The sequence below is a fragment of the Homo sapiens genome, chromosome 12 (genome assembly GCF_000001405.40).
Source record: "Homo sapiens chromosome 12, GRCh38.p14 Primary Assembly".
Taxonomy (NCBI): Eukaryota; Metazoa; Chordata; class Mammalia; order Primates; family Hominidae; genus Homo; species Homo sapiens.
Genome location: NC_000012.12, coordinates 50674148 through 50688558, shown reverse-complemented (window position 1 = coordinate 50688558; position 14411 = coordinate 50674148). Strand labels below are relative to the sequence as shown.

The following is a 14411-nucleotide window of genomic DNA, read 5'->3' as shown; positions in this document are numbered from 1 at the left end:
CACCTTAGACTCCTTGAGTAGCTGGGACTATAGGTGCATACCACCAGGCCCAGCTAATTTTTTATTTTTTGTAGAGACAGGGTCTCACTATGTTACTCAGGTTAGTCTTGAATTCCTGAGTTCAAGCAATCCAGCTCCCTCAGCCTCCCAAAATACTGGGATTAAAGGCATGAGCCATCTTACCTGGCCTATCTGTCTGTCTTTTAAAGATACTTAGATCTGTTTCACCTTTAAAAACAATCATCCTGGCATCCAATAATACCCCCATCACCTCTCAGAGCTACTGGTCACTCTCTTCCTTTTCTTTGCAGTCCTCCTATTTGGCCTTCCAAAGTGCTGGGATTACAGACAGATGTGAACCATTGCATCCAGCCTCTCTAGTGCAGTGGCGTGATCTCAGCTCACTGCAACCTCTGCATCCTGGGTTCAAGTGATCCTCCCGCCTCAACCTCCCAAGCAGCTGGGACTACAGACGTGCATCATCATGCCCAGCTAATTTTTTTTATTTTTAGTAGAAACGGGGTTTCACTATGTTGGCCAGTCTGGTCTCGAACTCCTGACCTCAGGAGCATCCACCTCAGCCTCCAAAAGTGCCAGGATTACAGGCGTGAACCAATGTGTCCCACCCCAGCCTCTCTTTTCTATTTTTTTTTTTTTTTAATTTTACTTTTAAGTTCTGGGACACGTGCAGAACTTGCATGTAGGTTACATAGGTATATGTGTGCCATGGTGATTTGCTGTACCTATCAACTCGTCATCTAGGTTTTAAGCCCCGCATGCATTAGGTATTTGTCCTAATGATCTCCCTCCCCTTGCCCCCCAGCCCTCAACAGGCCCCGGTGTGATATTCCCCTCCCTGTGTCCATGTGTTCCTATTGTTCAACTCCCATTTATAAGTGAGAACATGCAGTGTTTGGTTTTCTGTTCCTGTGTTAGTTTGCTGAGAATGATGGCTTCCAGCTTCATCTATGTCCTGCAAAGGACATGAACTCATTCTCCCAGCCTCTCTTTTCTATATCCAAAATTTTTTGAAGTTCTCTCTACTTATCACCACAGTGTTCAAGGCTAGATGATTTTCCCCCAGATCTTGAAAAAAATTTTTATTGATTTGCCTGTTCATTAACTTAACAATTGGTGAGCATATGTCTCAGGCAGGATGCAGAGTGGTGAAGGCCACAGCTTTTAGAGTTAGACCTAACTCTGAGTCTAGCTCTGCCATTTTTGAGTCATGTGGCCTTTGCTCAGCTACGGAAATTCTTTTAAGTCTTAGTCTCCTCATCTATAAAGTAAGTTTAGTAATAATCCAAACCTCACAGGGTACTTGTGAGGACTACATGAGAAAATGCACTTAAAGCATTCAGCCTGGTGCCTGCTGTGCACTTGGATTTGCTTAATCCATTAATGGGATCATGTTGCCAATTGCATTTCTATACCAACCTCAATATCAAACCTTCCAGCCATTTGTTTATTCTTGCTCTTTATCTTTCATCTACTAATCTGTTCTTTTAAGCAGAGCTATTTTCCCTCCTCATTTCTCCGTTCTCTTACCCCCAACCTCTCTAAATAAGCAGCAGAGAAATTTCTCTGCCAGTACATCATTTCCTAAACGCTTGTACTTCCCTAAAGTCTTTTGTAACTTTCTTACATGAAGAATCCTTTTTTTTTTGCCGTCATTCTCTTGAATGTATACTTATGATCAAAATAATTAGGATAGAAGATCCACTACAAGGCATTTTACAAGCCAAAAGATGGAAATCTCACAAAGCAGGAGGATCTTCTAACATTAACGTTGCAAAAATTCAGTTTTATATTTTGAAAGGTGGCAAGCAAAGCCCAAGGAAAAGCCTGAAAGCATATTTTACATCTTAGGACTTACCTCAATGTATGCCGGTTCTGTCCCAGCAGGTGAGATGTGTGGCTGCCAGTCTTTCGGTGGCTTTGAAAGGTACTTGGAATCTGTTACAACCCATTTGAGCCGGGGCCAACCTAAATCAAACCCAAAGTGAAAATTGAATTGCCTAAGCCATCAGGGAATGAATTCACACTGAACTGGTCATTTTAAATATCAAGAGACCAAATTAAGATCATTTTATAATCAATAAAATACTTAGTTTTTATTAGTTTTTAGTGGCAAATCACCAGACAATTATACCTTCTTTCAAAAGTACAATCGTTCCACATGCTAATTCCAGGCCTTGACATTACCTCAACAACTGGGAGGTCCGTTTGGCAGTGGAAGTCCACTGAGGTTAGTGGTCTATCCTCTGTCTCTACATGTAGCATTTAGCTTTAATGTACAGAGTGGTAGCTTTTTCCAACCATCGGCATAAAGGTTAAGGGTGTGGGCTGTGGAATCAGACAGATTTGGGTTCAAATTGCTGCTCTGCCATTTATTAGCTGTGACTTTGGGCAAGTTACTTAACCTCTCTGTTTCTCAGTTTCCTCACTTGTAAAATGGGGATAATAATGGTACCTACTTCATAAGACTATGAGAATTAAATAGAACATATATGTAAAGTACCTAGCTATTACTAAATTAAAAAGCTAATTAAAGCACTCAGTTTTAACTTTTAACTGATAATTCAGGTACAATGTTACTAACCTTTAAACTGTACAATTTCTCCATTCTGGGTTTTTGGCAGTCCTTTTAGACAAACTTCACTGGTAAGAGCTAAGGCAATACCACAGCTTCCTAGCAAGAAGCCAATCTGCTGACCTCCAGCATCCTGTGGAGAAATGATAATGAACATAGGTAGGGGAGCGAATGTGAGCACACTCATGCCCATATCTGACACTTAGTAATGCTCTGGCATTTTGTTTGATAACATTCATGGAGCCCCACCAATATCTGGCAATTGTCAAAATCCAATCACAATGTGTTCTTCCAAATAATTTCCACAATACAAACATTTCCTGAGCACAAATCAAGTATTTTATTAACCAGACATTACAAATGATAAATCCTACCAGACAAATGTAACCATTTTATTCAAGAGTCAGCAATGATCCTATTTTAGATTAGTTTCCAGCAAATTAAATAAATGCTAACATGGTTATCTTCCCCTAGCCTCACTCCAAAATTCGAGAGAAAAGCAAGTCAGGTATGAACAAAATAAATAATGTAAATGGATACTAAATGTCCAAGCTGACAATGAAAGTCAATGGATGGATATACCAAATCTGTATAATCCTTTTATTTTTCTGTTTTTAAAGGGGGTAGATTTAAGCCTTACACAAAAACAGCAGCAAAAACAACAAAAGATATAGTCTAAAACATTTCCATTAAAATATCATCTTACAAGCATCATTATGAAACCACACAAATTCTGCCAACTTAATAATTTAAGAACAATCATATGATTTCCTGATCAAATGAAGGATACTACATCCCAACAACTAGAGATTAGGGGATGTTATCAATTTGTTTTTTATTCCTTTCAGAAATGCTTTTTCTTTTCTTTTTTTATGAGATGGAGCCTCTCTCTGTCACCCAACCTGGAGTGCAGTGGCATGATCTCGGCTCACTACAACTTCCACCTCCTGGGTTCAGGCTATTCTTCTGTTTCAATCTCCCAAGTAGCTGGGACTACAGGAGCGCACCACCATGCCTGGCTAATTTTTGTATTTTTAGTAGAGACAGGGTTTCGTCATGTTGGCCAGGCTGGTTTTGAACTCCTGACCTCAAGTGATCCACCCGCCTCAGCCTCCCAAAGTGCTAGGATTACAGGCATAAGCCACTGCGGCCCGGCTGATTTCTTCTTTTATTTTTTTGAGACAAGATCTCACTTTGTCAGGCTGGTATACAGTGGCGCAATCTTGACTCACTGCAAACTCCACCTCCCGGGTTCAAGCGATTCTCCTGCCTCAGCCTCCTGAGTAGCTGGGATCACAGGCTTGTGCCATCACACCTGGCTAATTTCTGTATTTTTAGTAGAGATGGGGTTCCACCATGTTGGCCAGGCTGGTCTCAAACTCCTGACCTCAGGTGATCCACCCACCTCGGCCTCCCAAAGTGCTGGGATTACAGGTGTGAGCCATTGTGCCTGGCCAATTTCTTCTTATAAATCCACATCCTCCAACATATTCATCTTTGACATCAGCCCTCAGAAATAAACTGCATGACAAAATTAGCATCAAGTGGCTCATGGAGAAATCACTCAGTCAAACATGGAAATCTGTTACATATGCTTCATTTTAGTTGGGCTGATGTATTGTCAAAGTAAAATCTTATAATCCAGAGAAGTAACATGTCATCACACCATCACTTTCCACCTAATGGAAATCCTAGGTCATATGATACAGTTAGAGGAAATCCCTTTAAAAAAGGTCTCAACTACTATAAATGTGGATTATCTATAGTCTCTGAAGCAAGAGTGGGATTCTTTATAAATGATCAGTGTTGAAAGTCAAGTATGCCCCCATGATATTTTATTTTATATTCTGAAACAGAGTCTTGCTTGCCCTATTGCCCAGGCTGGAGTGCAGTGGCGCAATCACAGGTCACTGCAGCCTCAATCTCCTGGGTTCAATCAATCCTTCCACCTCAGCTTCTCAAATAGCTGGGACTACAGGTGCACACCACCACGCATGGCTAGTTTTTTTTACTATTTATAGAGATGGGGTCTCCCTATGTTGCCTAGGCTGCTCTCAACCTTCTGGGCTCACGCAACCCGCCCACCTCAATCTCCCAAAGTGCTAGGATTACAGGCGTGAGCCACCATGTCCAGTTGCCCCAGTGATATTTATTTATTTTTTATTTATTTATCTATTTATTTTTAGACGGAGTCTTGCTCTGTCGCCCAAGCTGGAGTGCAATAGCGCGATCTCAACTAACTGCAAGCTCCACCTCTAGGGTTCACGCCATTCTCCTGCCTCAGCCTCCCGAGTAGCTGGGACCACAGGCGCCCGCCACCACGCCCAACTAATTTTTTTGTATTTTTTAGTAGAGACGGGGTTTCACCATGTTAGCCAGGATGGTCTCGATCTCCTGACCTTGTGATCCCCCCGCCTCAGCTTCCCAAAGTGCTGTGATTACAGGCGTGAGCCACTGCGCCCGGCCTCGCCCCAGTGATATTTTAAATGATATGCAATACTATACAAACTCTATCTTAATACAAAATATGTTATTTGCATAAAACTTGTGAATATTTAATAAATAATTTTTCTACAAATTTCCTGTTTTTAGAAAGTGAAGCTGAGTACTTCCAAAAATGGTCGAACAGTTTTTACTGTTGTGACTACATCTATCCAAGAACCCAATGCCTGCCATGTCACATCAGGCTACATTCCTCTTAAATTTAGCAATGTTACCTTTCTGGTAAGAGGTACCTCTATAGGCACTGGAATCACTTCTGCCAGGAGGCATCCATAGAAAGCCACCATAAACATGACTGGATCATTGTTGGGGTAAACCAGGGCTACCTAAAATTCATAATGATATTCAGTTTAACAGAGGAATAAAAACATACTAATGCTTTCAATGTCACTGTCTAAGTATGTAATATTTATCATGAACACAATAAATCAAACTATTTAACAGCCATCTGCTCTAAAGGAAATTAAGTTACTGAGATAGAGACACACATCTAAAAAGATCTCCGACATGCCCACGATTATACTACACATTTTGGGAACTATAACGCATTCATCCTCGTCCTCATCACAATTTTTCACTTAATCCTTTTGGTGATTTAGCAACAAACAAACCATCTTAAGCATTAAGTTAATTACTTAGGAAACCCAAGGCAATTTACTTTAGTGTAGGGCTAAGGCAATAAAATAAATGTAATGGATCTCTCCAGATAGAACAGCATATTAAAGAATAAGCCTTACATCTCTCAGAGAGAGCCTACAACTGTAGACTGACTTGATCACCATGTTAGGGCCAATATAAGTTTTCCTACTCTTTTTTTTTTTTTTTTTTTTTTTTTGAGACAGAGTCTCGCTCTGTCGCCCAGGCTGGAATGCAGTGGTGCGATCTCAGCTCACTGCAAGCTCCGCCTCCTGGGTTCACGCCATTCTCCTGCCTCAGCCTCCCGAGTAGCTGGGACTACAGGTGCCTGCCACCACGCCTGGCTAATTTTTAATATTTTTAGTAGAGATGGGGTTTCACCGTGTTAGCCAGGATGGTCTCGATCGATCTCCTGACCTCGTGATCTGCCTGCCTTGGCCTCCCAAAGTGCTGGGATTGCAGGCGTGAGCCACCCCACCCGGCCAGTTTTCTTACTCTTTAATTCATTGTTTTAATCCTTGTTCCCTTACCCAACAATGCAAATGTTCTAGCAGGAGGGCATCTGGTAATAGGTGTAAACAATACTGGTGGAAACCGTATGGATATACAGTTAATTCATTAATAGAACATAAACCGTGAAACCTCTATAGTAAGTTCAAACCTGTGATCTCACCTGTAACACATCACAGAGATAAGTGACTTTTCCTAATTCACTCAAGGAATGCAAAAACGTAAAAGTCACTACCACTGCGGAGTTTCTTACTTGGTTTGGATACTCACAGATTAATATTTGAAACTTAATTACGTCATGAGACTTGTTTCCCCTTCTTTTGCTTTCAAATTCTGTTAACTCACTCCCAAGAGAAGTTCACTTTTGAACTTCTGAATTTTCCTAGGGTTCTGGAAAATTAATTCCACAAGACATTTAAACAACCCATTTCCTTCCTGCACAGTGTCCATCTTGCTAGGGAGACACAAAATCACCTGCTTAGGGTTCAGGAGGACTAGGAAACACTCATGTGTCACATTTATAAGTAAAAGCCATCCTTTATGTGCCCTTTGTCACAATGCAAAAGTATTTTTAACAGGTCTAGTTTAAGAGATTCCATAATCATAAGCCCAATCAAAATAAGTCTATTGTGTAGTTGGTGTTTCATTCTATGAATTCCAAATGAAAAGTAATGGTAAAAAGTAATCATATTTAGAAAGTCATTAATAGGAAAAATATCTTCAAAAATTAAAAAAATAGTATAATGTCCCCTCAAATTAAAGGAGAAATAAAACTCTGTCAATCGGTTTTTTCTTAAAAGTAACATGAATCTTCCTCTCTTTTTACATAAGACCACAGAAAAATGTTTTAAAAGATGTATGAGGCTTTTTTTTTGTTGTTGTTGTTGTTAGGGTCTCACTCTGTTGCCCACACAAATGCAGTGGCAAGATCATGGCTCACTGCTGCCTTGAACTCCTGGGCTCAAGCAATCCTCCCGCCTTAACCTCCCGAGTAGCTGGGACTACAGGTGCATGCCACCACACCCAGCTAATTAAAAAAAAAAATTGTTTGTAGAGATGGGGTCTCACTATGTTGCCCAGGCTGGTCTAAAACTCCTGGCTTCAAGTGATCCTCCCGCCTCAGTGTCCCAAAGTGCTGGGATTACAGGTGTGAACCACTGCACCCAGCCCATGTTTGAGGCATTTTGTGAAGAGGAGGAAAAAATAAAATAAAAAAATCAGAGAGTAAGTTTTGTTGCTGTTTTCTTATTGTCTAAAGATTCAAATATTTATTTCTGGAAAGACTAAGGTTTCTCTTTCTTTTTATTAGCACCTAAAGAGATTACTGATTGGCAGCTACAGGAAAGGACATGCGAATTTCCTTCAACCCAGGAATGTGAGAATTGTCATCTGGCATTGGGCTAACCTGCGTTGGAACCAAACCATTTTTATTTTTCCAAAAATAAGAGTTACATAAATTTTCCTGTTGTATATGAAAACTCCAGAATATTAGAATATTAGCATATTAGAAAACAATAAACACCACCTCCCTAAAACCAAAATCACACCAATTACCCTGTCTCCAGGTTTTAACACAGGTTCATTTTTGGTCCCCAGTTTATTAAGAAGTGTGTAGGCCAACTTTAAACTTCTGCTCCACAACTTTCCTGGAAAAAAAGGAAAAAAAAACAACAGTCATATAGAAAAAAAAACAGGTCTACCTCAATGAAAGAACATTCAGATCATCAGTGTAGTTAATGAGACAATGGCCACTTCCAAATGATGGGTTAGATGAGTGTCATTCACCCCCAACACACAGTAGGCCTCCCCACAAAAGCTTTCTATTCATTCTAGTTTACAAAAGCCAGTCATGCCTTGAAACAGAAATAAAACATCACCAGATGCTCATCCTGGTTTACATAATATTTCAAATTCTTTTCTGAAAGAATCTGCATATCCTTAGAAATAATTTGATGCAAACTGATCATACTGAAAGGGAGGAAAACAATATTTTTAATTACAAGACTGAAAATCAGAAGAATACTTCTGTTCTAAGTTTTTTTTTTTTTTTTTTTTTTTAAGACAGAGTCTCACTCTGTCGCCCAGGCTGGAGTGCAGTGGTGCAATCTCGGCTCACTGCAACCTCTGTCTGTCTCCCTGTTTGAGTAATTCTTGCCTCAGCCTCTCAAGTAGCTGGGACTACAGGTGTGTGTCACCACATCCGGCTAATTTTTGTATTTTTAATAGAGATGAGGTTTCGCCATGTTGTCTGGGCTGGTCTCAAATTCCTGGCCTCAGGTGATCCACCTGTCTCAGCCTCCCAAAGTGTTGGGATTACAGGCATGAGCCAACTGTGCCCGGCCAGTTTTTTAAAAAATTTACAAATATCTTCAGAAATGTTGTAAGCTTTTTCTGAAAAACCACTTACATAGGTGGTATCAGACACTTGAGGAAACTGCAAAGCAAAAACATGACTCAAATGATTAAACATTCCATACTGCTGTAATTTAGTAAAAACAAACATTAAAATGGAAATTATCTGTATGAACATATGGATGTATTCATAGATGTTAAATAAACATGCAAAGATTTGGCCAGCTAAATGCTTTCTTTAAGGGTTATATGAATGAAATGTATATACAGCTTCTGAGGTGAATGTTAAAACAATTTTGACAAAAACAAACAAAAAATGCTTTTCTTTTCCTACTCCCTTCCCTCAACCACTCTTAGAAATTCTTATTTTAGATTATGAGATAAGGGAAATCATGTTATTTTAAATAGCTACGTTATTTTACATACAATTTATTCAGAGGGGCATCCAAAGTTTAAACTATGTCAACCTGCGTAATTCTTTAAATAAAACCTTGTTTTTCCTCAAAGATTATTTTCCATCTAGGTCTATGGACACTGTGCTCCACTTGCAAAGGAGAAAAGGAATCTGTTTGAATAAACTAGTACAAAATCTCATAGCCCAGGGTTGACCCCATTTTTCCTTGAAGTTATTTTAAAAAGAAAAATTTTAGCTAGTATGCAAAATTAAACGGAAAAGTACTCATTCTTTGTTCATTACAGAATTTTGTGCCTATTATAATCAAGAAGCAGGATGGAATAAAGATTTAACAAGTAATCAGTTTCAACTGTTAGATAAAACCATCTGATTTTCACCATACATCAATACCAAATGTTTTTCTAAAATCCTCTTGTAATGTTAAAACATCTATGGATGTACAAAGTCTCTCTTCTTTTTGCTGTCTTTTAAATATTAGCTGGCTTGCAAATGTTGCTTTAGCAAATGAAAATATTTGGCAATAGCTTTACTTAGAGCTTAGGATCCTTTTAAATTATTGAAAAAATCTACTGAAACATAATGGCCAGCAACTGCTAAGTATCTAGATAAAAACACTACCCATGATATTCTGAAGAACTCTCAGGAGAGAAGGATCTGGAATCTTGCAGACTCACCATATGTAAGAGTGTAAACTGGTTTCCCTGTCATGTCCAGTGCAGTCAGACAGGAGCATTTTGCTTGAGTGGTACCCCAGCGCTGCAGGGCAGATTCAAGAGCAGGAGGCCAGTTACAGATGACTCCTAAAGGCTCTCCTTTCACAGGGGTCATCTGCCGTCCCTCCGGCTTGGGCTGGTTGGGGTCTGGCTGAGGTACTGTACCAGGAAAATCCCAATGAGTGAAATGAGTACAAATACCAATGAACACAACTTAGGTCTCTAATCTCAACTGCATCTTCCTTTTCACTTCATATTTACCTGGTTTAAACTCACTTTGAGAAAGGACATGGTTAGAAATGGTGGTCCACAAACTGGGCCTTAATTCAATTTTCCACTTAAATGTGAAATCATATTCGTTTTATGCAATGAACAAATCCTGACCCTGACAAAGCAAATCACTGCATATATAGAATAGCACAAAATATACATTTTTTGTAGCAATTTCACAATTTTTAGCAAATTTGTTTTTAAATCTGTACAGTCTGTGTCCAGTGTGAGACAGCCAGGTTCTACTACAGCAGATTATGTTTAATGAGAAAGCATTATACTGTGAGTCAGAAAGCCCAAGTTTACATTGACTTTTTACTAGTATTACCTTAGGCCAATTGATTTACCTGAGCTTGGCTTTCCTCATCTGTAAAACGGGGATAGTAACAGTTATACCTCAGGGTCATTACTTCACTCAAACAGACAATGGGCATAAACCACAATATCCCATGTCTCCAGACCTCTGCACTCATCTCGTATGGCCAATCCCTTTGCCTCCTGGTGAACTCTTCCTCATCCTTTTCAGGACTTGGCTGAAACAGCACATTCTCTGGGAACCATTCCCAACCACTCCCTGAGGAGACTACTGCTTCCTTAGTGCTCCCACGTTGCCCTTAGGAAAGCACTGAGCATCCTAAGGACTTCTTTTACTGTACAAGTTTTCCCCCACAAAGGCTGATGGCTTCTTGAGGAAAGGGGTGGCTCTTACTCCCCTTACTGGCTGTAGTGCCTAATACTTCACGGTTGTTCAACAATGTCAGCTGAACTGGACTGAATTTGGTTGTGTGTTTAGTGGGGAACTAATTATTAACATGCTTATTCCAGAGATTGGGGGTGAATATTTCATACCCTTTCACAGATAAAACAAAAGTCCTCTTAATTTCTAAAATGAACAAGTATTATTCAAATAATAAAAATCAAAAAAAGAATCCTACATTTCCTTCCCTACCCCCACGACAGAGTCTTGCTCTGTTGCCCAGGCTGGAGTGCAGTGGAGCGATCTCGGCTCACTGCAACCTCCGCCTCCCAGGTTCAAAAGATTCTCCTGCCTCAGCCTCCTGAGTAGCTGGGATTATAGGCGCCCGCCACCACGCCTGGCTAATTTTTGTATTTTTAGTAGAGACGGGGTTTCACTATATTGGCCAGGCTGGTCTTGAACTCCTGAATTCCCACTCGCCTCAGCCTCCCAGAGTGCTGGGATTACAGGTGTGAGCCACCGCGCCCGGCCAAATGCTACATTTTCATAGCAGGAAAGATAATTTACACGTGGAACAAATCACTCTAGATAGAGTGCACCAGGGGACATAAACACACACAGACTCAGCGCTAAGGCTAGGACAACATGAGCAGTGCGTGAGAAGTGGGGCACGTCTCCACCTGGAGGAGGAAATGTCTGAGCTGAGTCTTAAAGGATGATCAGGAATTAGCCAGGTGAACAAGAGATGAGAAAAGAGGCACGGAAGGGAGAAGGGACAGAATGAGCAACAAATCTTAGATGGGCAAATGAAATATGAAATAAATGTTTTATAGCTCAATGACAAATCTGGGGATTGTACTTAAAATGCCTTGATTCATTTTTCTACTAACGTAACATTCATGAAATAGTTTCACTCCCCAATTTGCTGCCTTAGGGTAAATAATAAATGTTTCAACTGCCCTTCTGCTTTGTACATTCCCAGACGCTAAACCACCAGATTAACTAAAAAAAATAAACATGGGTGTTTCTAAATAAGTATTGTATTTGTTTGGACAGACTATGTATATAGTAGGCATTGTTTCCTGCCATGAAAGCTGACATTATCGCCATTATCCATTAGGCTTCAATGCAGATTCTGGGGCATGCTCTTTCAGATTTCCAAAGACCTACTGGTATTTTTCTTTTCCAAAGGTGACAATTACTCAAACAAGCAACTATTGCCTATTTATATTAGTAATTAATGGAAAGTTGTTAGTTCTATTCTGCCAATGCAATTTTTTCAGGTAAGATTCCTGTTAAAAACCGTGACCTTCATGTGCCTGGTCAATACCCAATGCTAAAAACACTGGAAAGGCTATTGCTGGCGTGGACATCTTGAACATCAGTACATCATGAAAGACGTCCACCATTCAATGAGTTTAGTGATTCCTAAAAAAACAGATACTCATCTTAACCTCATATGTCAGGTTGCTTTCTGCGGTATAAATTGGGCTAAGACCAGATCTAGTCTACCAATGTACCTAATTCTATTAACAAGCTGATGTGATCAAAACCTATTACTATTAGTCTCAGGACATAAAAACAGACTACAAAGCTACCAACGCTTAGCTCTTTCAACAAAAGCTTTTCTTAGGTAGATCTATTTGTCTAGATCTATCGTCATCACTCTATAATTATCAAATGGCCATTCTCATTTTATCCATACTCACACTCATTCCCCTTCCCTATTAAATCCTAGATATATGGTTTTATCCATAATTTAAAAATTATTGAATGAATAAATCACTGTTACACTTCCTCTGTGAAGCCTTTCCTAACCCAGAAGGAACTGATTTCTTCCCTTCTCAGAAGTGCCTATATTGGCTGATAGATACTTAATACTTAAACTAAGTATTCACATGGATATATTTTAGCACCCGTCTAAATTGTAAACAACATGAAGGAAATAACTGTATTTTTATAAATCTTTGAACCTTTTCACCATCTAACACGCTGCCTTGTAGAAAGCAGAAATATGTATTGATTGGTTGATTCATAAAAGGATTACATTATATGAAAACAGAGTAGGCAAACTTTTGAGGCTGAATTTGATATCCACATCCGAGAAAATGCCAAATATAAATAACTCGTAAAATCATGTATTTGGGATAGTTCCTAATTTCAAAGAGTTTATTTCCAAAGACAGTTCTATGCTCCATGGTGATCTCTTTGCCTTTCTTCCCTCTTCTTCCTTCCCTCCTTAATTTTCATCTAAGATCTAAAATACAGATAATCATTAGGGAAAAAAGAGCAGAAAATGATGAACTCTTTGAACCAAGAACTGTGTCTTGTTCATTCTTTAACCCTACAGTACCTAACACATAGTAACTGCTTAAGATATATTTATTTAATGAATATATGTTTTTGGTATTTTTACTACTACCTTCCACAATTTCTTCAGAGTCATCCACAAAAAATTCCTTTAAGGGAGGCCTTTTGGGTCGTTTCAGAGTGTTCAGAAGCTGCTGGATTTTTGTAGATACTCTGCTACTGACAGGAACACCTATAAGGGAAAAAATGGTTAAGTTAAAATTCATTGACTGTAAGGATATTTTAGTTCCTCAGTTCCCTCAGGAGCTTTTATTTCTAAGGATGTTTGGCGTTTGTCCAGTTTCCTTCTCTTTCAAGTGGACCAAATATGTACACAACAAGTTTTATGACAATAGAGAACAAATATGGTGCTATTATTAATACATAGCTTAAGGATTTCACCTAATCTTCCTTTTCAGTTATTCTTTTTTTGAGATGGAGTCTCGCTCTGTCACCCCAGGCTGGAGTGCAGTGGCGCCATCTTGGCTCACTGCAAGCTCCGCCTAATTTTTTGTATTTTTAGTAGAGATGGGGTTTCACTGTGTTAGCCAGGATGGTCTCGATCTCCTGACCTCATGATCTGCCCACCGCGGCCTCCCAAAGTGCTGGGATTACAGGCGTGAGCCACCGTGCCCGGCCCTCTGTTATTCTTTTCTTTTTCCACATTTAGGTTTTTGTTCAAAGTATCATCTGGAAGTATCCACTAAGTTCAATTAAGTGGCAATACTGTCACTGTGCAGATGATGGAAAAAAGGTACCCAGGATTAGTTATTAGTGGGCCAACTACAATGCAGTTCTGCAGCTGCTGGGCTAGTTAGGAGCTATCATTCATAATTTGAATTTTTCTAGTTTAGTTTACACTACAATTGAGCTACCAAAAACAACTCCTTACCATCAGCTGTATCCATAAGGCTGGACCTGTTGGATCCTTTGTGCATGCCTTTAACTATCCCCGAGGGGGGCAGGTCAATGTTTGCTGGGCGAATTGAGGAAGATGATGAGGAGGAAGAGGTAGTTGTAGTGACATCAGGAGGAGCAGAGAAATTCTCTGAGAGGAGAAAACAAAGTTTAGAATTATATTAGCAGCAAAACTAAGAACCTTCAAATCTTTGGGGTTTTGTTTTTTAACAAGGAAGAAAAGTACATAAATGGGGGCACTGGCTCTTGTAAAACAACATTTAAAAATCAGAATCTATTAGCAAGACACAATGGGAGAACAGTAAGTTAAGCCAGGGTATATCAGCTTTCCAAAATTATTATTTTGTAAGACTTGAGTAGCCTTAGTAAGATCAAATCTCACATTCAATGTTTCTCAAAACATCATTTTCTACACAGAAAGGCTGGTAGAAATCCAGTGTTATAAAATAATCATAA

General features: G+C 39.5%; 1 protein-coding gene across 1 annotated transcript in view; it reads right to left on the bottom strand.

The window, feature by feature from the left end:
• The window catches only part of DIP2B (disco interacting protein 2 homolog B), a 243673-nt gene that overhangs the window by 60099 nt on the left and 169163 nt on the right, over window positions 1–14411 (bottom strand). The window contains exons 6-12 of the mRNA NM_173602.3: window positions 13930–14085; window positions 13111–13230; window positions 9683–9880; window positions 7796–7887; window positions 5311–5421; window positions 2603–2726; window positions 1877–1986 (exon numbers count right to left, since the gene is read on the bottom strand). Coding sequence (NP_775873.2) covers window positions 1877–1986; window positions 2603–2726; window positions 5311–5421; window positions 7796–7887; window positions 9683–9880; window positions 13111–13230; window positions 13930–14085 — 911 coding nt within the window. The remainder of the gene's footprint in view (window positions 1–1876; window positions 1987–2602; window positions 2727–5310; window positions 5422–7795; window positions 7888–9682; window positions 9881–13110; window positions 13231–13929; window positions 14086–14411) is intronic.